This window comes from Homo sapiens, chromosome 4, assembly GCF_000001405.40.
Source record: "Homo sapiens chromosome 4, GRCh38.p14 Primary Assembly".
Lineage (NCBI taxonomy): Eukaryota > Metazoa > Chordata > Mammalia > Primates > Hominidae > Homo > Homo sapiens.
In genome coordinates this window covers 118,180,148-118,205,593 of record NC_000004.12, presented here as the reverse complement: position 1 = coordinate 118,205,593, position 25,446 = coordinate 118,180,148, and the positions used below count along the sequence as shown (strand labels likewise).

General features: G+C 37.9%; 1 protein-coding gene, 1 long non-coding RNA gene and 1 pseudogene across 12 annotated transcripts in view, besides 3 other annotated features; 2 read left to right on the top strand and 1 right to left on the bottom strand.

Annotated features, from left to right (window-relative positions):
- NDST3 (N-deacetylase and N-sulfotransferase 3) overlaps positions 1–25,446 on the bottom strand; it is a 225,313-nt gene that overhangs the window by 53,041 nt on the left and 146,826 nt on the right. The gene's annotated exons all lie outside the window — the stretch shown is intronic.
- Positions 1,168–25,446, top strand: part of LOC107986307 (uncharacterized) — a 149,690-nt gene continuing 125,411 nt past the window's right edge. Inside the window, exon 1 of the long non-coding RNA XR_007058241.1 lies at positions 1,168–1,434. This is a non-coding gene — a long non-coding RNA (uncharacterized LOC107986307). The remainder of the gene's footprint in view (positions 1,435–25,446) is intronic.
- Positions 10,676–11,176: an enhancer, noted in NCBI's record as "H3K27ac hESC enhancer chr4:119115573-119116073 (GRCh37/hg19 assembly coordinates)". NCBI's record gives its function as "activates a minimal SCP1, AML or CMV promoter by ChIP-STARR-seq in naive H9 embryonic stem cells {active_cell/tissue: H9 hESC(naive)}" and the evidence as "EXISTENCE:reporter gene assay evidence [ECO:0000049][PMID:30033119]".
- On the top strand, positions 10,699–12,867 carry FKBP4P1 (FKBP prolyl isomerase 4 pseudogene 1; annotated as a pseudogene).
- Positions 11,177–11,677: an enhancer, noted in NCBI's record as "H3K27ac hESC enhancer chr4:119115072-119115572 (GRCh37/hg19 assembly coordinates)". NCBI's record gives its function as "activates a minimal SCP1, AML or CMV promoter by ChIP-STARR-seq in naive H9 embryonic stem cells {active_cell/tissue: H9 hESC(naive)}" and the evidence as "EXISTENCE:reporter gene assay evidence [ECO:0000049][PMID:30033119]".
- Positions 13,960–14,642: an enhancer, noted in NCBI's record as "OCT4-NANOG hESC enhancer chr4:119112107-119112789 (GRCh37/hg19 assembly coordinates)". NCBI's record gives its function as "activates a minimal SCP1, AML or CMV promoter by ChIP-STARR-seq in primed H9 embryonic stem cells {active_cell/tissue: H9 hESC(primed)}" and the evidence as "EXISTENCE:reporter gene assay evidence [ECO:0000049][PMID:30033119]".

Below are 25,446 nucleotides of genomic sequence, written 5' to 3'. Positions count from 1 at the left end.
GTCTCTAAAGTTGAAGAAATAAACACCTATGAAAAGCTGAACAAGAACATTAGCATCACTAACTGGAACCATCTAATGTAGATACAACTGTCCTATATTCTGTGAGTGTCAATGTATTAGAGCACAATGAGATAAGCAAATTATGGGTGGAATATCCTGATTTAGAGGGCAGGGAAAGGTTTACTGTATATAGGAAGATTTCCATTCTGTTTTTTAAATGATATATAAATAGATAAACTCAATGTATCTAGCATATGAACTCAATGGCAATGTCTATCATTCTGTAAATAGATGATAAATTAGTATAAATATTGTGTATATTCTTGTGTATTTCTCTGTTGTTCTCTTTGAGTATCTATTTGTCTATCTCAAGCCCATCTGCATAAATGAAAATCTTCCCCATTCACAAATGAATTTACTGTCACTATAAAGTGGAAGATAAGGCCTGCTCAACTCTAGAGAAATGTTAGGCACATAGAAAATAGAAGCAATGATAACATTAACAATATTATTATTAAAATGAAAAGAAATTGAACAACATTTAAAAACTCCACAATTAACAGTTTTTTAGAGTTAACATAAAATGAAGTAAAAAGCAACTTTAATATAATAAGCCAATTACTTGTACACAGATATAGAGTGAGTGAATACTAAGAAAATCATGGGTTTGTTGACTCTAATTTCACACTGAAAATGATAAGCAACTATATTTGTGTTAGAATTGCTCTGTTAACTTTCTCTGCTTTCTAAACTAATCAAATTCATTGTTTTTATCTTTAAATATTATTTAATAACCACTTTATTAGAAGTGCCAATATCTTAGAGAATATATATAGATAGATTTATATTTATATTCACAAAGACACATGTGTATATACACATATTCACATGTAATATTGTTAAATCAAGTTTATCCTAAAGTTGCTTCCTTACATACTTTAAGTTTGGCATAAAGATTTCTCTGTACATAGTGAACAGTAACCTCAATGGAAGTTTAAATAGACAGTAACCTACTCTTGTGCCAGTCACCAAGTTTTGGCCAGTCAGAGGCAGCCAACTGTTCAAAACATGTTCAAATAAGGCAAATGTTGAGCTGTAACCAATCTGGCTGTTTGTGTACCTCACTTCCATTTTCTGTATGTCACTTTCCTTTTTGTGACCGTAAATCTTCCACCACGTGGCTGCACTGGAGTCTCTCTGAGCTTACTCTGGCTAAGGAGGCTGCCAGATGCCAGATTCACAGATCATTCTTTGCTCAGTTAAACTCTGTGAAGTTTAATTTGTCTAAGGCTTTTTTTTTTTTTTAAACAGATGGTGTCAGAAGTGGGATCCGAATTAGAGCTTTCAGTGACCCCCAGGAGCATCAAGTGACCAAGCGAGGTACCTGCAGGGCCCATTGTGTCCATTGCTCTTTCACAGCAACTGGGGATGATGGTAAGTTCTCTCTCAGAATTCAAAGCTCCACATATTTGTGTTTTGAGCTTTCTGAGTTTGTTTGAGCAAATTTCTGATCGAAACTAGGTTTGGAAGTCACAAAAAAACTGAATTGGGTCCAGAATCTGATAATTAACTGGCTTGGATCTAGTTACAGGCCTCTTATGTCTGAATGGTTCAGACAGAAACCAGTAGAAAATGGCAATATTTCAGGGGATGCAAACTTTGGTTTTGGAAATTTATAGGGATTTTTGTGTTCTACCTCCTTTGTTTTTCTTGTGTGCTGAGGTAGGAAAAAATTATTGGCTAAGTTGATTAAGAGGATCTGAGAATTAAAGCTAAGATTCAAGATAAAAATGGGATCCTTATTTTCTTAAGAACTGAGTAATGTATCTTCTGATTATGCCCACACTTACATGTGTAAGTATTAGGTTCTGGAAACAGCAAACACTTTTAGAAATAGCAAAATCTTACTAAAGGTAATTTAAAATTACAATGGAACATTCCAAAGAAACAACACTGCACTTGAAGAAGTGCAGTTGAAAATGAGGGCTCACAACCCTATGCACACAAATTAGAAAATCTAGAGGAAGTAGGTAAATTCCTGGAAGGACACAATCTTCCAAGACTGAATCAGGAAGAGATTGAAAACCTGAATAGACCACTATCGACTTCTGAAATTGAATCAGTAATTAAGAACCTACTAACCAAAAAAAGCCCTGGCTCAGATGGATTCACAGCTGAATTCTACCAGACATACAAAGAACTGATACCAATCCTACTGAAATTATTCAAAAAATCAAAGAGGAGGGGTTCCTTTCTAATATATTCTATGAAGCCAGCATCAGCCTGGTACCCAAATCTGGCAGAGACACAATTAATAAAGGAAACTTTAGACCAATATCTCTCATGAATATAGACCTGAAAATCCTCAACAAAATACTAGAAAATCAAATCCAGCAGCATATTGAAAAGTTAGTAAAACATGATCAAGTAAGCTTTATTCCTGGAATGCAAGGCTGGTTCAACATATGCAAATGAATAAATGTGATTCACTACATAAGCAGAATCAAAAGCAAAAATGAAATTATCTTCTCAATAGATGCAGAAAAAGCTTTTGATGAAATCCAACATCCCTTCATGTTAAAAACCCTCAACAGACTAGGCAATGAAGGAACATACTTCAAAATAATAAGAGCCATCTATGACAAACCCACAGCCAACATCATACTAAGTGGACAATAGCTTGAAGCATTCCCTTTGAGAACTGGAACAGAACCAAGATGCACACTCTTACCACTCATGTTCAACACAGTACTGGAAGTCATAGCTGGAACAATCAGGCAAGAGAAAGAAATAAAAGGCATCCAAATAGGAAAGGAAGTCAAACTCTCCCTGTTTGCTGATAACATAATTCTATACCTAGAAAATCCTAAAGACTTTGCCAATAGTCTCCTAGAATAGATAAACACCTTTAGTAAAGTTTCAGGTTACAAAATCATTGTATAAAAATCAGTAGCATTTTCTATATGCCAACAAAGTCCAGGCTGAGAGTGAAATCAAGAACATAATCCCATTTACAATAGCCAAAAGAAAATGAAATATCTAGGAATACAGGTAGCCAAGGAGGTGAAAGATCTCTACAAAGAGAACTACAAAACATTGCAGAAGGAGATCAGAGATGACATAAATGGGGAAACATTCCATGCCGATGAATTGGAAGAATCAGTTTCGTAAAAATGGCCATACTGTCCAAAGCAAGTTAAAGATTCAACACTATTCCTATCAAACTACCAAAGCCATTTTTCACAGAACAAATGATTCTAAAATAAATATGGAACTGAAAAAGAGCCCCAATAGCCAAAGCTATCCTAAGCAAAAGAATGAAGCCAGAGGTATCACATTACCCAACTTCAAGGCTACACTATATAAGGCTACACTACTACTCCTACTACTACACTACTACTATAAGGCTACAGTAACCAAAACAACTTAGTACTGGTACAGAAACAGACAAAGACAAATGGAAGAGAATAGAAAACTCAGAAATAAAGATGCACACCTACCACAATCTGATCTTCAACAAGGCTGAGAAAAACAAGCCATGGGGAAAGCACTTCCCATTCAATAAATGTTGCTGAGATAACTAGTTAGCCGTATGCAGAAGAATGAAACCAGACCCCTACCTTTCACCATATACAAAAATTAACTCAAAATGAATTAAAGATTTCAATGAAGGTCCTCAAACTGTAAAGATCCTGGAAGACAACCTAGGAAATACTTATCTCAAAGTCAGCCTTGGTAAAAAATTTTTAGCTAAGTATGAAAAGCCATTGCAACAACAACAACAACAAGACAAAAAGGATCTAATTAAACTAAAAAGCTTCTGCACAACAAAAGAAACTATGAACAAAGCAAACAGACAACCTGCAGAATGAGAGACGATATCTGCAAACTATGCATCCAACAATGGCCTAGTATCCAGAATCTATAGGGAGCTTGAACAAATCAACAGGCAAAACACCAAATAACTTCATTAAAAAATGGGCAAAGGACATGAACACATACTTCTCAAAAGACGTCATACAAGTCACCAACAAACATGAAAAAATGCTCAGCATCACTAATCATCAGAGAAATGCAAATCAAACTGACAGTGAGATAAAATCTCACACCAGTCAGAATGGCTGTTACTAAAAATCCAAAAAACAACAGATGCTGGTGAAGATGTGGAGAAAAGTGGACACTTATACATTGTTAGTGGGAATTTAAATTAGTTTAGCCACTGTGGAAAGCAATCTGGAGATTTCTCAAAGAACCTAAAACAGGGCTACCATTCATCTCAGCCATACCATTACTAGGTTTACACCCAGAAGAAAATAAATCATTCTACCAAAAAGACACATGCACTTTTCTGTTCATTGTTGCACTATTCACACTAGCAAAGACATGGGATCAACCTAGCTGCCCATCAGTGGTGGATTGAATAAAGAAAATGCTGTATATACACACCACGGAATAGTACACAGTTATAAAAAAATGAAATCATGGCCTTTGCAGCAACATGGATGGAGCTGGAGGCCATAATCCTCAGCAAATTAATGCAGAAACAGAAAATTCAAAACTGCATGTTCTTCCTTCTAATTGGGAGCTAAGCATTGAGAACACATGGACATAAATATTAGAACGATAGACACTGTGGACTACTCGAGCTTGGGAGTGGGTGGGTTGAAAAACTACCTATTGAGTACTATATTATGCTTACTACCAGGGTGAGGGAACCTGTACTCCAAACTTCAGCATCATACAATATTCCTATGTAACAAATCTGTACATGTACCCTGTATTTAAAATAAAAGTTGAAATTAAAAAAAAAGAAAAGAAAATGAAGCTTTCCAAATTACTCTCATCTATGGATGCCTACTGATATGCAGAAGCTTCTAAAGTATTTCAGTATTTTAAATTAAAGACTCCTTATAAAAGGCAAATAAAAATCTTAAATGACTAATAAGAAAAATTAAATCCGCTTATCTTTTTGCTTAGTTACAATACTGTCCCAAAGACAAAAAAGAAAGCTATCCTGGATAAAAAGTTTATATAAGGTAGGCCCTACAGCTGGGTAGAAAACCAAGTAGGCTCTCACGGTACCTGATTTCAGGACTTGGTTTTTAGATGGCATTTCTGGACTTGCCTTAGGCCAGAAGGGACCTCACTGCTCTAAAGGGTGAGTCCCAGGCCAGGCAGCATTCAACACAAGCTGACTGAAGAGCCCTTGAGCCTAAAGGGAACATGGTGGTAGTCTGGCAGTACTCCCTGTGGGCCTGAGGTGGCCGTGGCCATGAGGTGAGGCTCGCTGCATTTGGAAAGGGGAGGGAAGCATGGGAAGCGCTGCGTCTTGTGGTTTGAGTGCCAGCTTAGCCACAGTACAATAGAACACCAGGTAGACTTCTAAGATTTTTGACTCTAGTTTCTGGCTCCTGAATGGCACCTCTGGACCCTCCTGGAGCTTGGGCTTGGAGAAACTCATCACCCTCAAGGGAAGAACATAGGCCTGGCTGGCTCTGTCACCAGCTAATTGCAGATCTTCAGGGCCTTGAATGAACATAGCTGGTAGCCAAAGAGTGGTTACAGCAGGGCTTGGGCAAGACCCAGTGCTCTGCTGGTTTCAGGTCTGACCCAGCACAGTTCTAGGGGTGATGGCTACAGGGGTGCTTGTGTCATTCCACCTCTAGCTCCAGGTGGCTCAGCACAGAGAGAGACTGGGACAAAGTAAAGGAAGAGAACCAGAGTCTCCGGTAATCCAGATAATTCTTCTGGATCTTGTCCAAGACTATCAAGGCAGTACCTCTATGAGTCTGCAAGAATCATAGTGTTACTGGTCTTGGGGGTCCTCTCTAAAGCAGATATAGCTTAGATCATAACACCCAAGTCCTTTTGAATATCTGGAAAGCCTTCCCAGGAAGAATGGGTATAAAGAGCCCAGACTGCAAAGACTACAATAAATACCTAACTCTTCAATGGCCAGACACAAATGAACACCTACAAGTATCCAGACAATCCAGGAAAACATGACTTCAATGAATAAACTAAATAAGGCACCAGAAACCAAGCCTGGAGAAACAGGGATATGTGACCTTTCAGACAGAGAACTCAAAATAGCTGTTTGAGGAAACCCAAAGAAATTCAAGATAACACAGAGAAGAAATTCAGGATTCTATCAGATGAATTTGACAAAGAGATTAAAATAATTAAAAAGGATCATGCAGAAATTCTGGAGTTGAAAAATGCAGCTGGCATGCTGAAGAAATCATCAGACTCGTTCAATAGCAGAGTTGATCAAGCAGAAAAAAGAATCAGCAAGCTTGAAAACAGGCTATTTGAAAATACAGTCAGAGGAGACAAAAGCAAAAAGAATAAAAAACCATGAAGCATGCCTACAGGATCTAGAAAATAGCCTCAAAAGGGCAAATCTAAGAGTTATTGGCTTTAAAGAGTATGTAGAGAAAGAGATATGCATAGAAACTTTATTCAAAGGGATAATAACAGAGAGCTTCCTAAACCTAGAGAAAGATATCAGTATCCAAGTACAAGAAGGTTACAGAACACCAAGCAGATTTCATGCAAAGAAGACTAACTCAAGGCATCTGGTAATTCAACTTGCAAAGGTCAAGGATAAAAAAAGGTTCCAAAAAGCAGCAAGAGAAAAGAAACAAATAATGGAGCTCCAACACATCTAGTGGCAGCCTTTTCAGTGGAAACCTTACAGGCCAAGAGAGAGTGGAATGAAATATTTAAAGTGCTGAAGGGAAGAGAACTTTTATGCTAGAATAGTATATCTGGTGAAAATATCCTTCAAGAATGAAGAAAAAATAAAGACTTTCCTAGACAAAAAAAAAGTTGAGGGATTTCATCAACATCAGACTTTTTTTTTTACAAGAAATGCTAAAGGGAGTACTTTAATAAGAAAGAAAAGGACATTAATGAGCAATAAATAATCACCTGAAGGTACAAAATCCACTAGTAATAGTCTGCAGAAAAACAGAATATTATAGCACTGTAAATGTGGTGTGTAAACTACTGTTATTTAAGGAGAAAGATTAAATGACTTACCAATCAAACATAGTAACTACAACAACTTTTCAAGACATATTACAATAAGATATAAATAGTAACAAAAACTTAAAGCAGGGGCACAAAGTTAATGCAGGAAGTCTTTGTAAATTTTCTTTTTGTTAGTTTGTTTATGCAAACAGTGTTATTATCAGCTTAAAATAATGGGTTATAACGTAGTATTTGCAAGCTTCATGATACCCTCAAATCAAAAAACATACAATGGAGACACAAAAAATAAAAAGCAACTAACTAAATCATATCACCAATGAAAATTACCTTCGCAAAAAGAAAGACATGAAGGAAAGAAAGAAGGAAGAGAAGACCACAAAACAGCCAGAAAACAAATCACAAAATGGCAGGGGTAAGTCCTTACTTATCTATAAATTGAATGTAAATGGACACAGTTCTTCAAAGGACACAGAGTAGCTGAAGGAATAAAAAAACAATGAGGCCAGGTGTGGTGGCTCACGCCTGTAATCCCAGCACTTTGGGAGGCTGAGGTGGGCATATCACTTGGTCAAGAGATCAAGACCATCCTGGCCAACATGGTGAAACCCTGTCTCTACTAAAAATACAAAAATTAGCTGGGCGTGGTGGTGTGTGTCTGTAGTCTCAGCTACTCAGGAGGCTGAGGCAGGAGAATTGCTTGAATCCAGGAGGCGGAGGTTGCAGCAAGCCGAGATCGTGCCACCGTACTCCAGCCTGGTGACAGAGTGAGACTCCATCTCAAAAAAAAAAAAAAAGCCAAAAGCCAAAAAATAAACAAAAAACAAAACAAAACACACCAAAAAACCCCCCAAAAACTGAGACCCAATGATCTGTTGCCCACAAGAAACAGACTTCACCTATAAAACACACATGGAAAATAAAGGGATGGAAAAGATATTCCAAGTCCATGGAAACCAAAAAAGAGCAGAAGCAGCTATATTCATATCAGACAAAATAGATTTCAAGACAAAAACTGTAAGAATAGACAAAGAAGGTCACTATATAATGATAAGGGGTTCAATTCAGCAAGAGGATATAACGATTTTAAATATATATGCACTGAATGCTGGAGCACCTAGATGTATAAAGAAAATATTATTAGAGCTAAAGAGAGAAGTAGACCCCAATATAATAATAGCTGGAGATTTCAACATCCCACTTTCAACACTGCATCAATCTTCTAGACAGAAAATCAACAAAGAAACATCTAATAGATAGTTACAGAACATTTCCTTCAAAGACTGCAGAATACACATTCTTTTCCCCAGCATATAGATTATTCTGAAGGACAGATCATATGTTAGGTCACAAAACAAGTCTTAAAACATTCAAAAAAATGTTAATCATATCAAGCACATTCTCTGACCACAATGGAATAAAACTAGAAATCAATAACAAGAGGAATTTTGAAAACTATACAAACACATGGAAAGTAAACAATATGCCCCTGAACAACCAGTGGGTAAATGAAGAAATTAAGATGGAAATTGAAAAATTTCTTGGAAAAAATGATAATGGAAACACAACATACCATTTTGTTGTATGGAATACAGCAAAAGCAGTACTAATAGGGAAGCTTATAGCTATAAGTGCCTACATTAAAAAAAAAAAAAACTTCAAATAAACAACCTAATGATGCACCTCAAAGAAGTAGAAAAGCAAGAGCAAACCAAATCCAAAATTAGTAGAAGAAAAGGAATAATAAAGATCAGAGCAGAAATAAATCAAATTGAAATGAAGAAGACAATACAAAAGATCAATGAATCGAAAAGTTTTTTTAAAGATAAAGAAAATTGAGAAACTTTTAGCTTGCCTAAGAAAAAAAAAGAAGATCCAAATATGTAAAATCAGAGATGAAAAAGGAGATATTATAACTGATAATGCAGAAATTCATATGATAATTTCTGGCTACTGTGAGCAACTGTATGCCAAAAAATTGGAAAATCTAGAAGAAATGGGCAAATTCCTAGATGCATACAACCTACCAAGATTGAACCATGAAGAAATCCAAAACTTGAACAGACCAATAACAAGTAACATGATTGAAGTTGTAATTAAAAATCTCCCTGTAAATAAAAGCCCAGGACCCAATGACTTCAATACTGAATTATGCTAAACATTTAAAAAATAACTAATAGCAATCCTACTGAAACAATTCTGAAAAAATAGAGGAGGAGGGACTACTTCCCAGCACATACTATGAAGCCAGTATTACTCTGATACCAAAACCAGACATAGACACATCAAAAAAAGAAAACTACAGGCCAGTATCTCTGATGAATCTTGATGCAAAAGGCCTCAACAAGGTATTAGCAAACCAAATTCACTAATATGGTAAAAAAGGTCATTCATCATGACCAAGTGGGATTTATCTCTGGCTTGCAAGGATGTTCCAACATACACAAATCAATCAATGTGATACATCATATCAGTAGAATGATGGACAAATCCGTATGATCATGTCAGTAGATGTTAAAAAAGCATTTGATACAATTCAACATCCCTTCATGAAAAACCCTCAAAAAACTGCGTATAGAAGGAGCATACCTTAACATAATTAAAACCATATGTGACAGACCCATAGCTAAAACCATACTGAATGGGGAAAACCTGAAAACCTTCCCTCTCCCATCTGGATCATGACAAGGATGCCCACTTTCACCACTGTTATTCAACATAGTACTAGAAGTCCTAGCTACAGCAATCAGACAAGAGGAAGAAATAAAGGGCATCCAACTGGAAAGGAAGAAGTCACGTTATCCTTGTTTGCAGATGGTATCTTATATTTGGGAAAACCCAAAGACGCCACCAAAAAACTATTAGAACTGATAAATTTTGTAAAGTTGCAGGATACAAAACCAACATACAAAAATCAGTAGCATTTGTATATGCTAATAGTGAACAGTGTGAAAAAGAAATCAAGAAAGTAATCCTAATTATAATAGCCACAAATAAAATTAGATATGTAGCATATTAGTCTGTTCTCATGCAGCTAATAAAGTCATACCCCAGACTGGGTAAATTATAAAGGAAAAAGGTTTAATGGACATACAGTTCCACAAGGCTGGGAAGGCCTCACAATCATGGCAGAAGGCAAAGAAGAAGCAAAGGCATGTCTTACATGGTGGCAGGCAAGAGAGCTTGTACAGGGGAACTCCCATTTATAAAACTATTAGATCCCATGAGACTTATTCACTACCATGAGAACAGTATGGGGGAACTGCCCCCATTATACAATTATCTCCACCTGGCCCCACCCTTGACAAGTGGAGACTATTACAATTCAAGGTGAGATTTGGGTAGGGACACAGCCAAACCATATCACCTAGGATTTAACCAAAGAAATGATCTCTACAATGAAAACTATAAAACACTGATAAAAGAGATTGAAGAGGACACCAAAAAAGAGAAATACATTCCATGTTCATGGATGGGAAGAATCAATTTTGTTAAAATGTCAATATCACCCAAAGCAATCTACATATTCATTGCAGTCCCTTTCAAAATACCAATGACATTCTTCACAGAAATATTAATAATAAAAAACTATCCTAAAATTTACATGGTACAACAAAAGATCCAGAATAGTCAAAGCTATCCTGAGCAAAAAGAACAAAACTGGAGAGAATCACATTACCTGACTTCAAATCATACTACAGACTGGCAGAGGTGCTCCAGCCTCCATGTGGTCCGCAGTCAGCACCACAGCACCTGGCCTCCTGCACACCCTGAAGGTAGCACCCCTGCCTTTGGCTCAGAGTATGCTGGTGCCGGTGCCAGCTCCCAGAAAGGGTGCGCTGCGTGGAGATGACAGTTGAGGAGATGAAGGAGACTGAGAATGGGACACAGTTGGCGCCTCTTCCCATGGAGGGAGTGGACATTCGCCCAAACAGGAGGAAGGCATGCTGAAGGTCATCGAGAGAGGGCACAGGTACAGAGATGCCCATGATTGGGGACTGAATCTTTGTCCACTACACTGGCTGGCTGTTAGATGGCACAAACTTTGACCCCAGTCTGGATCACAAGGACAAATTCTCCTTTGACCTGGGAAAAGGGGAGGTCAACAAGGCTTGGGACATTGCCATAGCAGCCATGAAGGCAGGGGAGGTGTGCCATATCACCTGCAAACCAGAATATGCCTTCGGTGCAGCAGGCAGTCCTCCAAAGATCTCCCCAATGCCACACTCGTGTTTGAGGTGGAGTTGTTTGAGTTTAAGGGAGAAGATCTGACGGAAGAAGAAGATGGCGGAATCATCTACAGAATTACAGACTTGCGGTGAAGGCTATCCCAGGCCCAATGAGGGTGCTATCATGGAGATTGCACTGGAAGGGTGCTACAAGGACTAGTTCTTTGAACATCAGGAGAATCTGGATCTGCCTTATGGTCTGGAGAGGGCCATTCAGTGCATGTAGAAAGGAGAACATTCCATTGTGTACCTCAAACCCAGCTATGCTTTTGGCAGTGTTAGGAAGGAAAAGTTCCAAATCCCACCAAATGCCTAGCTGAAATATGAATTACACCTCAAGAGTTTTGAAAAGACCAAGGAGTCTTGGGAGATGAATTCAGAAGAGAAGCTGGAGCAGAGCACCACAGTGAAAGAGTGGGACACTGTGTACTTCAAGGAAGGCAAATACAAGCAAGCTTTACTATAATATAAGAGGATTGTGTCCTGGGTAGAATATGAGTCTAGTTTTTCCAATGAGGAAACACAGAAGGCACAGGCCCTTCAACTGGCCTCTTACCTCAACCTGGCCATGTGTCATCTGAAACTACAGGCCTTCTCTGCTGCCACTGAAAGCTGTAACAAGGCCCTGGAACTGGGCAGCAACAACGAGAAGGGCCTCTTCCATTGGGGAGAGGCCCACCTGGCTGTGAATGACTTTGAACTGGCACAGGCTGACTTCCAGAAGGTCTTGCAGCTCTACCCCAACAACGAAGCCGCCAAGGCCCAGCTGGCTGTGTGCCAGCAGCAGATCTGCAGGCAGCTTGCCTGGGAGAAGACGCTCTACGCCAACACGTTTGAGAGGCTGGCTGAGGAAGAGAACAAGGCCAAGGCAGAGGCTTCCTCAGGAGACAATCTCACTGACACAGAGATGGAGGAGCAGAAGAGCAACACCACAGAGAGCCAGTCTCAAGTGGAGACAGAAGCATAGCCCCTCTCCACCAGCCCTACTCCTGTGGCTGCCTGCCCCCCGTCTCCCTACTCTGCCCTGTTAGTTTTGTAAAAACTGAAGAATTTTGAGTGAATTAGACCTTTATTTTTCTATCTGGTTGGATGGTGGCTTTAGGGGGAAGGGGGAAAGGAGTAGGCTGGGAGATTGAGGTGGGGAATCATTTTAGGTGGTGTCACCCCCTCTTCCCTTCCCCCATTGCACATGAACATATGTCCATCCATACATGCTCATTAGAGTGTTAATTTATTTTGCTCCTTCTGTTTGTTAGGTCCATTTTCCAGGGGTAGAAGAGGCAAGTGGTAGGGATGGGGTCTGATATGAACCCAGGGTGGAGAAGGAGACTCCTGGGCAGCTGTTTTCCTCATCCTTTCCCTCTCCCAGTCCATTTCCAAATGTGGCCTCCATGTGGGTGTTAGGGACATGGGAAGAAACACCATTTCTTCTCTGTTCCCTTCCTCACCCCAGATGGCATGGCTGATGCTGTCTCCTGGTGTCATGGTGACCACCCCCTGTCCCCCGTTCTGGTATTTCCCCTGTCAGTTTTCCCTCTCAGCCAGGTTGTGTCCCCAAACCCCCTCAGCCTCTTCTTTGCATGTTGATGAAGGTCCAGGCTTGCCTGAAGTTCCATGCTAGAGCAATAAAGTGGAAACAATAAAAACAAAAAAAAAAACCCACAAAAAACAAATTATACTACAGATCTGTAGTAACCAAAACAGCATGTTGTTGGCATTAAAACAGACAAATACATCAATGAAACAGAATAGAGAACCCAGAAACAAATTCATACACCTACAGTAAACTCATTTTTGACAAAGGTGTCAAGAACATACACTGGGGAAAAGACAATCTCTTCAATAAATAGTGCTGGAAAAACTGGATATCCATATGCAGAAGAATGAAACTAGATGCCTATCTCTCGCCACATAAAAAAATCAAATCAAAATGGATTAAAGACTTAAACCTGAGACCTCAAACTGTGAAACTACTACAAGAAAACATTGGGGAACTCTCTAAGACATTGATCTGGGCAAAATTTCTTGAGTAATACCCCACAAGCACAGGCAACCAACCAAAAATAGACAAATGGGATCACATTAAGCTAAAAAGCTTCTGCACAGTGAAGGAAACAATCAACAAAGTGAAGAGACTACCCACAGAATGGGAGAAAATATTTGTAAACTCCCCATCTGACAAGGGATTAATAAGCGGAATGTATAAGTAGCTCAAACAGCACTGTAGGAAAAAATATAATAATTTGATAAAAAATGTGCAAAGGATTTGAAAAGACATTTCTCAAAGGAAGGTATAGAAACAGCAAATAGGCATATGAAAAAGTGCTCAACATCATTGATCATCAGAGAAGTGCAAATCAAAACTACAGTGAGATATTATCTGACCCTAGTTAAAATGGCTTATATCCAAAAGACAGTCAATAATAAATGCTGGTGAGGAATTGGAGAAAAGAGAACCCTCATACATTATTGGTGGGAATGTAAATTAGTACAACTACTGTGGAGAACAGTTTGGAGATTCCTCAGAAAACTTAAAATAGGCTTACCGTATGATTCAGCAATCCTACTATCAAACTAGTATTTGATAGTACAGCAAGGTGACAATAGTCAATAATATTTTAATTGTATGTTTTTAAATTACTAAAAGAGCATAATTGAATTGTTTTTTACACAAATGCTTGAGGGGATGCAATTCCCATTTTCCATTATGTAATTATTACACATTGCATTCCTGTTTCAATACATCTCATGTACCCCATATACACCTACTATATACCCACAAAAATTAAGTAGGCCCTTGGGAAAAGTAGCCTTGCTTTTTCAGACCCATCCATGCTGAGTCCAGGCCTAGAGAATGCTTTCTTTGCTCTATTCCTTAATGGACTCCATCCTGAACTCAGTAATTTTAGCTAAGAAACAATAGCTAAGTTTAAAAGATCACCACCTATCAAACTGGAATACACCTTTCTGGAATTTAACTGGCTTTCCTGAAACCCTTTTGTAAAAGAAATTCACACCTATAAAGGAAATCTCCATTTGTAAGATGTCTGCCTATGTACATTAGAAACTCTTCCCATTGTTTTAATTTGCACAAGTCATATATCTGTTTAAGGTGCTTTTCTGGCCGTCTTATCTAACTTAACTTTTACTTACACCACTTTCCCCTTGGTTTGAGCAAATGGTACTGTATTTAGGCCTAAAGTGTTAGCTCTGTGCTTTTGAAATAGAAATTTTCTTGCTTCACCTAAGAGTTTTCCCTTTAGAAATGCAAATTTGTTGCCTAGTTAACAATGGCTTAGGGTGACAAAATAGGTAATTGGAAGATTGATAGGCTGAATGGGGAAAAGAAAAACTCTTTAAAAACTGGCAAATGAGAATCCTTTAAGAAAGGTATAAAATCTGCTTCTGTCTGTGTGTTTGTAGGTCTATATGTATTATGCGTATGTGATAATATTTGATAAATAAAACTTGTTTTAAAATTCTTGGTAAAATAGGAATGACTTCAAAATACAATTGAATATAATTTGATACTTGCTTGATTTGACTGTGGAGCTTATGTTTTGGTTCAGAGCCTCTGGGTTTGGGGGTCTGCATAGGTGGCCATGGTGAGGTCTGGAGACATGTTTTCAGTGCCTAGACCAGCAACTATGCAGCAAAGTCAAACCCAATATGGCCCTTTCTTCCCTGCCCCAGCTTTGCCTCCTGGTTACTTCGGGAGTGGTTAGATTCTCCAGGTATAGTCTTCACAGCTCTGTCTTCTGTCCTGACCTCTATACCTGGTATGCAAATTCAGGACTCAGACAGGCCCTACCCTTCATAGTCCTCCTGGATGCCACATGGCTACTTGGGACCCAAGATGACTGGGGAAGACATTAGGGAAGGTACCTGTGTCATAGTTTCAAAATTTATTTCAGTCATTTCAAATCTTACATACTATGCTAAATTAATTAACACATAGACATAAAATATCTGAATCATTTGTAAGTTAAAAACTGAAATATTACTTATTAAACATGAGTTTAATTCTATATACCTTGACTTTTTTTATATTGTACAGAAAAGCTAAATATATTTAGGTCTGTTAAAAAACAATAACTTGAACCATCTTTTGAAAAAAATTATAAAATGGTTTTTATTTGTAAATACTGATATAAAACAGTTCAAAATTACTTTCAGAGTTTTCACTATAAATTAGGGTTCTAATAGTTAAATTAGAGTTTATATATAATTATATTACTACTACTAGATATGAAACAATTCTGTATACAGAATGTATAAACAAAAGCAAGATATGCTTTTGATGAGGAAACTAATAAAGACATAAAATGTGTATTTAAAATTTTTTTTATCTAGTTTGAAGTTATTTAAACATTTCAAATTGAAGGACTAAAAAATAGGCAAAATTACATAAACCTAGGAAGTTGGGGAAAAATGTAAAACATAAAAGACCTATGGAAATCTTGTGTGGTCGAAAGATGACAAATTTCATAGATTTAGTTATAAGTTTTATTACAATTAGCTTTAGCATTGATAATACAGTAATCTAAAAATAAAATTTGGTTTTCTCTTTTGAGGAAAATTTCAATGGAGTATTAATAAATGACAGTAAAATATCTTTGTTCGCCTTTGAGTAAACTATAAAAAATAGAAGAGAGGAGAGACATTCTGTCTCAGGCTATCTTTCTTAGGTCGTTTGGTTGGAAAACTGAGTCTCCTCTATCAAAGAGTAAAGGTTTTGGTTTTAAAAAATCTTTTAATTATTACATTGGCTAAAAAAATGACTATTATTTTATGGTTACTTATAATCATATTTGTGTTAAGTATTTTAAACCTTTGACATATTTGACAGGCTTCCCCAAATCAAATTTCAGCTTCAGTATTGTGTTTTTTGACCTTCAATTTTGGGATGCTACAGAGGGCTCCTGAAACATCCAAAAAAGACATAAATAGGATTATTTGACATGTTGAATTACATGGGAAGCAGTGACAAATAAGAAATGTTTAACTTTCTTCAAGTTATTGGCTGGATGCTGTGGCTCATGCCTGTAATCCCAGCACTTTGAGAGGCTGAGACAGGCAGAGCACCTGAGCTCAGGAGTTCAAGACCAGCCTGGGCAACATGGGCAAACCCCATCTCTACTAAAAATACAAAAACTTAGCCAGGCATGCTGGCGTGTACCTGTGGTCCCAGCTACTTGGGAAGCTGGGGTGGGAGGGTCACTTGAGCCTGGGATGCAGAGGTTGCAGTGAGCCAAGATTGTGGCACTGCACTCTAGTCTGGGTAACAGAGTGAGACTTATCTCAAAAAAAAGTTATATTTTAATGAATATATTATTAATATATGTTCTAAAATTATATCAGATTTCTAAAATTCTAATATATCTCAGTATATGCTACACAGTTATGGTTATTATGTGAAGTTATTTTATAGGTCAAAGAAATAACCAAATTTCCTTGTCAATTGTCTTTAACTATGACCATTTAAAGTCATTTCTACAGTTAATTGCTTAATTCTGATGCAGTTTTTGAAAACTTCACAAGCACATAGAATCTTAGGGTACTGTGTTTTTAAGGAGGTTCATGAAAGGATTCAAAGCACCCTGGTAAGCACTCTTGGATATAGGTTTGTGATAACTTTTGGATCATATTATGAAGCCTGGATAAGAATTCCCAGAAATCTAATGAGAAACTGACTGGTTTTTAAAACTGCTAACCCAAGCAAGACAAAAATTAATTGAATATCAAGAAAATACTTTCTCAGATTTTCATGCTAAATCAGCCACTACTGTTTAGATATGCAATTTGAATAAACTCCATGGTGCAAGTCAAATTATCTGCGATAGCCTATTAGTTATCAGTGCTCTGCACCTAAATCGGAGAAACAACTGGATTTAAGAGGACATAAGTCCAATGTTAAATGTGGACTCAGGGAGAACTTAGATGGCTGCTTTGTCTTTTCTGAGTCTTTAAAGTTTTCATTATTAAAAGCTGTACAATCCATGATTCATCATGGAAATGATAAAGGAATCCAAATTAATATATAAATTATTAATATATTATATATTAATAATATATAATAAATATATCATATATTAATGATATTTATAGGTGGTGTAACTGTCCTAAATTGCTAAAATAGTTTATGATCAATGTTTGGTTTGTTAAACCCATATTCCTAGGAAGATAATCTAAACTTCAGGTACATTTCTGTTACCTGATGGGCCATTTAAACATTTATAGAGGGATTTCATTCAATTTTCATTTTCAATGTATGTTTTCTGGTTGTATAAAAGCTTTCCTAGGCAAGAGGGCTGATGTTGTAACAGTAGCTCATTAGGCCAAAGTGTATTTTCACCAGTTAAAGAAAGCTTTTTATGGTCCACTGACTGAGGACAATCAACCCCTTAATAATCTAGAATATGAAGACTGGGTCTTCTGGGAGCAACATCAGAGAAAGATTGCTCTTGCCATCCACACTGCAGCAAAACTTTGGGAACTTGAGTCTTGGCTTCATAATCTCACAACTGAGAAGGGTCATTCCACAGTCTTGGAAATGTATGCCCATTGGAACTCTTAAGGTAAAGCTAACCAGGGAGGTTTCTCCCCAAGAAGATGGCATCATTGATGTGGATGGCTTTTTCCCAAGATCATGGATCAAGAATTGTCTGCTGTTATGAAACTCTTAATCTCTCATTTTTTCTTGCTTATGTCTCTAACAACAATAGAGCTAAAAAGGGGGTCTCTTATGTGCCCTCTTGGGGTATACTTTTATTTGTGGAAGATTTCGCAGCCAAACTTCCACATGGACAACCTTATGCCTTGAGAGATGAAAGATGAAGGACCAATACGAACAACAAATGTTAGCCTTGTTCCTTCATAGTCAATCAAAAACAGAACATTGGTCCACTCCTCTTAAGGTACATCATGGATTAAAGAAAACCTTTACAGGAGATCTTCTCTCTTTTGGATGGATATCATTTGTTAGATCGCTCTTTCTGTGGTTGGGAGTAGATGAGGCAATGATTAGAAATTTATCCCTCATGATAGGCTCTGTAGCAGATTCTACTGCAAAAGCTCTGGCTACACAACAGACTTAAAATTCTCTTGTGAAAGTTATGCTAAATAATTGAATTGCTCTAGATTACTTGCTGGCTAAACAGAAGTATCTGTATAGTTGCTGGTACTTCTAGTTGTACGTGAAGGAATACATTGGGTATTATAGAGATTCATTTCTAGGGGATTAATGAACAGGCTACCTGGTTGAAATGAGTAGACTCTTTGTCTAGCTAATTCTTTGATCTATTTAATTGTAGTTGGATTGGTTCATGGGGACTCTGGCTAAAAAGCATACTCCAAACTCTTGGTATTATCCTCCTCATGGTCATAATAGTAGTCTCCCTCATGTGCTGTTTTCTTTAAAAAGTTTTGAATGTTTGCATGCAGCCATCTCAAGAATGTCAAATGGTCTCTCCTGAACTGTAATGACAAAAGCTTAAAGAAATGTGTGACCATGAGGACATGATGACTTATGAATGATGTGCTGAAACTAGAAACCCAAAATGATGGTAACTGAAGTGGCACTAAGGCCCTAAGTTTTGTCACACCGTTACCTAAGTGAGAATGTGATGGTTAATACTGAGTGTCAACTTGACTGGATTGAAGGATGCAAAGTATTGATCCTGGGTGTGTCTGTGAAGGTGTTGCCAAAGGAGATTAACATTTAAGTCAGTGGGCTGGGAAAGGCAGACCCACTTTAATCTGAGTGGGCACAATCTAATCAGCTGCCAATGTGATCAGAATAAAAGCAGGCAGAACAACGTGGAGAGATCAGACTGGCTTAGCCTCTCAGCCTACATTTTTTTCTGTGCTGGACGCCTCCTGTCCTCGAACATTAGACTCCAAGTCCTTCAGCTTTGGGACTCAAACTGGCTTCCTTGCTCCTTGGCTTGCAGACGGCCTATTGTGAGACCTTGTGATCGTGTGCATTAATACTGCTTAATAAACTTCCCTTTTTATATGCATCTATCTTATTAGTTCTGTCCCTCTAGAGAACTCTGACTAATACAGAGAAGTTAATCAAAATGGAGGAATTTTTTTAAAGAAAATTATGGGAGCCATTGTTTTAGACTGAGTTTGTACAGTAGGCCCCAGCAGACCAGACCAAACTAAAATGGAGTCACTCATGCTAAATATGACACAATCAAACTGAAACTTTAAGGAAGTAGATAGGTCCTAAAACAGACCAGATTTTGTTTTTCTCCTGTAAGCAGAAGATTCCAAAACAAGGAGGTACCCTCTCCTCTGACCGTTACCCAAAAAATAACCTGAAGTGCTTGTTTCTACTTTATAAAACCCACTGTTTTCCCACTGGGTTTCAAGACCAAATAAGTAAAATTATGATGGTAATAGTGACATCAATGACTAAAGTTTTGGTCATCCTCTTAATTTTAGAGGGGAAATTGTTAAGTTTAGCATAAAGCATATGCCTCCTTACATACTTTAAGTGCAGCCTAAAGGGTTCTCTATACATAGTGAACTATAATGTAAATGGAGATGTAAATAAATAAACCCATTCTTGTGTCAATCACTGAGTTTTGGCCAATGAAAGGTAGCCAACTATTCAAGCCATGTCCAAATTAGGCAAATGCTGAACTGTAACCAACCAATCTGGCTGTTTCTGTACCCCACTTCCATGTTCTGTACATCACTTTCCTTTTTCTGTCCATAAATCTTCAACCATGTGGCTGCACTGGAATCTCTCTGAATGTACCCTGGCTCAAGAGGCTGCCTGATTTGCAAATTGTTCTTTGCTCAATTAAACTGTTAAATTTAATTTGTCTAAGGTTTTTCTTTTAATGATATCTACATATATCATATGTATGTTATAAAATTAATATATATAATTTATAATAAATGTATAATATACATATTATTAGATACCACTTTATCTTATACTTATTGGCTTTAATTTACAAGCATTTATCATCACAAATTTTATTACACCAGTGCATTTGATTTCCTGTTAAAGTGAACTAAATTTGGTAAGCTTCCCTTATGTTCATAAATAATTTAAATGCATAGACAATTAAAAATGTGTTTAGTTTGTATATACACACAGCATGAAGTAAAATGCTTTCTTCCATATTAAATAATTAATGGTAACATATATCAAATATTTCTTTGAAATTCAATATACATTTAAAAAATGTACAGTAGCATATGTACCCATCATTTCAATTATATTTTAACATTCTTTGATGTTATTAAACAGCTATTCCCTGTTACATGTCTCTTTAGCATTGGTGTCTCTTAACGAAATATAAGAAACTAATAGGATATGTTGTACAAAAATTTAGTGACTCATATTTATTATCCTTAAATTAAAGTAGAAAGTCTTATTCATTTGTGCCTCAATTTATTTGCCAGTTGAGTAGGAATGCAGAAATAAAAGGTAAGTAATAAAGAAAAAGCCACTTCATGGAAAATGGAAAGGCCTGGAGATAGTTTGTAATTATGCAGCTTTCATAGTCAGAGGGCACATGTGAAAATGCAGACCACAAACATGCTTACAGCAAGTAAGTACATAGTACAGAGTATTCCTTTGATGCATAGAATGAAAGCACATTTCTACTAATAAATTATGTATACTTAATATTGCATATTGTTATACAATATTAAAAATGTCTTAGGGTTCTCTAGAGAAACAGAACCAACAGAGACAGAGAATATGTGTGTGTGTGTGTGTGTGTGTGTGTGTGTGTGTGTGTGTAGAGAGAGAGAGAGAGACAAAGGGAGACAGAGAGAAAATGAGAGACAGACAGACAGAGATTTATTTTGAGGAATTGGCTTGTGACTATAGAGACTTGGTAAGCCCCAGATTTGCAGGGCTGGAGACACAGAGAAGAGTTGCAGTTTGAGTCCAAGCACAATCTGCTGGGAGAATTTCCTCTTCTGGGGAGGTCAGTCTTTTTCTATTAAGGCTTTTAAGTATTTGGATGAGGCCCACCCACATTATGGAGGGTAATCTGCTTTACTCATAGGCTACTGATTTAAATGTTATCTCATCTAAAGAAATACCTGCACAGAAACACCTAGAATAATATTTGAACAAATATCTGAGTACCATGGCCTTACCAAACTGACACGTAAGATTAACCATGGCAGAGGATGAATACTTTTTAAAGAAATGATTTCATTTTGTTCTTCAGTGCCATGTGCAATGAAATGATTCTTTAAACTGTTTTGTCAACTTCATTCTCCTTACATCTAGTTTTTTGACATTATTTTGCTAGGTAAGAAGAGGAGAGAGAAGTGAGACTCTGTAAAACTAAAATTGGAACAGGAGTTCTGTGAGTGAGGGGTGGCCTGAGCCACCCTTCTAGCACCGTGAGTAAGTGGTAGGACTTTGCATTTGAGTGAGTGCCCCGTGGTACATCTGTGCAGGCTACAGCCAAGATTTCTGGGTTTCCAAACTTAGTCAAGGTGCCCTTTTCCCAGCCTGACGCACATAGAAGCCACAGATCTGCTGGCCCTTCTGCAGTCATGCAGGCTTAGCCAATTTACGATTAAGAGGATGTAAATATGCAACATATGTAAATATGTTTTAGACTGAGTTTTCATCCGAGGCCAGAAGACAATAGCAATTATCCTAAATTCCAGAGTGAGATCCTGAACCACTTGTCTTGCAAGGGAGGTGGTAAAAAACCTTTGGTCATTCATCCACTTGAAGATTGTTGTGTAATGGAGAATTTGATTAGTGTTTGTCTCTAGTTCTTGAGAGGAAAACTAGTTCTCTGAAATTTCCCAAATGATAGGAGTTCTTTGTTATTCATGGTGGGTCCAGATAGCTTATACTAGTGAGATGATTCATGGTGGGGCCCTAGATAGCTTATACTAATGAAATGATTTGGGATGGGGATAGGCCCTGCCAGAAAGACCGACCATTTGATTAGACTGGTGGAGCTTTGAATCAAATGATATCACCAGTATCCTTGAATCCTCAGAAGGATGAGAAAGAAGAGAAGGGCTGGAAACCGAGCTCAATCATGTGCCCAGTGATTTAGTCAATTATTCCTATAGTTCTGGTGCCCAATGTGGGGCAGCTGGGACACTTGACTTGCTCCAGAGCCTGCAGATGAGATTCTGGAACAACAGATGAAAAGCCAGCAAAGAAATGGTAAACATTGTTTTCCAAGGACAGCCCTCCTGGATCTCTGCCTGTAGTGTCGTCTGGTGGAGAATGGAAGGTAAAATTTTCTCATCTCTTCTTTCCAAAATTCAGGTTAGCAGGAGAAAATCATCCGTATGTACGAGTTGCTGGGTATAGTGAATCTGGTGATTGTTTGTTTGTTTGTTTGGTATGAGTAGTCTTATTTTCTGATCCCTTCCCTTGCAGAGATGCTGCCTTGTTTTCTGTTGTCTGTCTTTTGTATTGTTTATCATAAACAGCAGAATCACAGGGCAAGGAGCACAGGCATAGGCTTTCTAAGGTTGTTGCTCAAACTGGCCTGACAGGCTGGTGGATTTGTAGTTCTTACCAGACTTCTGTTTAGTTAAACTAACTTTGCTGTAGGTAACTGAGTCAAAAACTGGATGAGATTCTCCTTTTGTCTTATATCCTGAGATTCTCTTTTGTTTTATATCCTGAGATCTTGGCTTTGTGACCATTGAAGACATTCTCTCTGTTCCATTTTAGGAAAGTGCAAAGTGTTGGCTTGTGTCAGGCAGCCAGCTGAATGGCCTAGAACCCAGAGGTTTCCTTTGATCATTTCAATTCTCAGGGGAGTTTGTCTTATAAGAAGTCCTTGTCCTCATTGCTTGGTTAGTAAAGGGAAACTCCCATCCCAGTATCATTTGCCTGTTGTCACAGATTACTGTATTTGTGACTGGAGGCATCCCAGATTTTTTGTGGGAGACTGGAGATACCATTTACATAAATACTGTCATTACTACCTGTGGCAATGGAAGTCTTTGCTGTCTTAGTCTCTGGAATTGAACTTTCCATAGTATTATTGGTTTGAGTCACTATACGAAAAATGTTTGAATTGTGCCTTTTGGTCTTGGGGTACCAATTTGTTACTAATCCTTCCCTCCCATGAACAGCTTTTGTTTTCCTGTTTGTTTCAATTCGTGTCCCGAGAACTTGGCTTGGCTTCCTGCCTGTCAGGGCATGCATTTTATTGGGCCTGCTTCCATGATGAACCAACTGAAAAGTGGTCTGGCCCCCAAAATATGGCCAGACAAAAATGTGGCTTGAACCCCATGTGTAGCTAGCATACCTACTATTGCCAGCTCTCAAAGCATTGTCTGAATCTTTTTCTCTTTTGGCTGTCTTTGGGAAGTGGCTCTGGACCTTGAGAGGGCTGCATTTTTGCACCTCTGCAGAGATGACTTGTGAATCCTTGGTTAAATCATAAAAGGCTTATTAATTTTTGTCCTGAGTCACCTATTAGGTATACCTTTGGTTTAAAATTTTGGTTTATTTTATTTGTTGAATCCCTTAAATGAGTTTCAAATTGCCTTATAGATAAATGGACACTCATATTAACTAAATATACCTAAAACTGCTGAAAATATAGTAACAAACCCAAATGTTTTTCACTTTCATGTGACTTAGGTGAATCTCTGGTAAATAAGATTAGTTCAATATTGTTGGCTTAATGGGAGAAAATAGAGCCAAGAATATTTGCTGTTTGTCCCAGCCGAAATCTGATAATTTTTGAAAAGATATTTAAAAGAGCTCTATGGTCAGAAGTGAGCTTAATTGGAAGTTGATATTCAGGGTATAATTTATTTAAGGCCTCTCTGGTCTCTGTATTGGATCTTGCTTCTCCCATGGGAGCTTCTCAGTTAATTGAAGCTTCTCAAACTCATGCTAACTAAATGCTCAGCCCTTCTGTTTGCTTCCTTTCTTGTCGGCATTATTTTTGCTGAAGATAATGTGGAACTTCCCTGGCCTTTTTGGAAAACAAGATCTCAAACTGGCTCCTCTCAGATCTGTTCTTTCCATTTCCTGCTCCTCCTTCTTCCTTTTAACCATCGTTTATCTTCCATCCAGTTTCCTTGCATTCTTGATACGTTTCTCTTCTAGCCCCTACCTCCTTCATTTGGTGGTCAGGAGATGGGAAATTACTAAGAGGGAATAGAGTTCTCGTGGCTACCTGAAGAGACCTAAAGGAGACTTCTGGTGACTCTGATACCCTTTGAGGAACAACACAGGGAAGGTGCCACTGATTTCTTTTTTGGAGTACTCTGTCTTCCTCATGGAGCCCTGAGAATCGTGAGTAGGTTCCCCTCAAGTCTGAAGCTTTGCTCTCCTTTACATTGAGATATCTGATTTCTTTGGCATTTTGGGTACCAAGGATTAGTTTGTGCTATGAGGTGGCACTTTGCCTGATGAGTCATTGGCAAGAGCTGTAGTTTTAAAGGTAACTGACAGTGGTTACAGTAAATGGTTATTACTGCAGGGGACACAAACTCTGGCTGTTGGAATTCACAGGTATTTCGTTTCTTTCCTCTTTTTCCTGTGTGGTTAGGTGAGGGCACTTAGGAGATATTAGAGTGTTCATCACTGAAAAATAAGATGACTGTAAAAGTATAAGCTGGTCAAGAAATGGGCTACTTGACCTTAGGTCACCCACCAGCCTCTAGAAAATGTCTGTACAACTAGGTACACTGTAGATGCACTACATGACCCAATCCTGTGGTGCTTTCTTCTTAGGCTTTTATCTAGGCTCTGAGAAGACTCAAGATTAAACCAAAGCTAAATTGAAAAGTCACCTATCTAACCAAATTTGTCTCCAAACTGTTACTTCCTGGCATTTAGTGGGTTATTTTGAACAGGCTACTGAATTGTCTCCTAAGTTGATCTGTGTACTTCTTTGTACCACTCAAAGAGGGACACCACAGAATATTACACAGCCATGGAAAGCAATGAAATCATATCCTTTGCAGCAACATAGATGCAGCTGGAGGCTATTATCCTACGTGAATTAATGCAGGAACAAAAAACCAAATACCACATATTCTCACTTATAAGTGGAAGCTAAACGTTGGATACTCATGGTCATAAAGATGGCAGCAGTAGACACTGGGGACTGCCAGAGAGGGGAGGAAGGGAGAGAGGCAAGAGTTGAAAAACTAGCTGTTGGGTCCTATTCTCAGTACCTGGTTGATGGGATCATTTGAACCCCAAACTTCAGCATCAGGAAATACACTCAGTTAA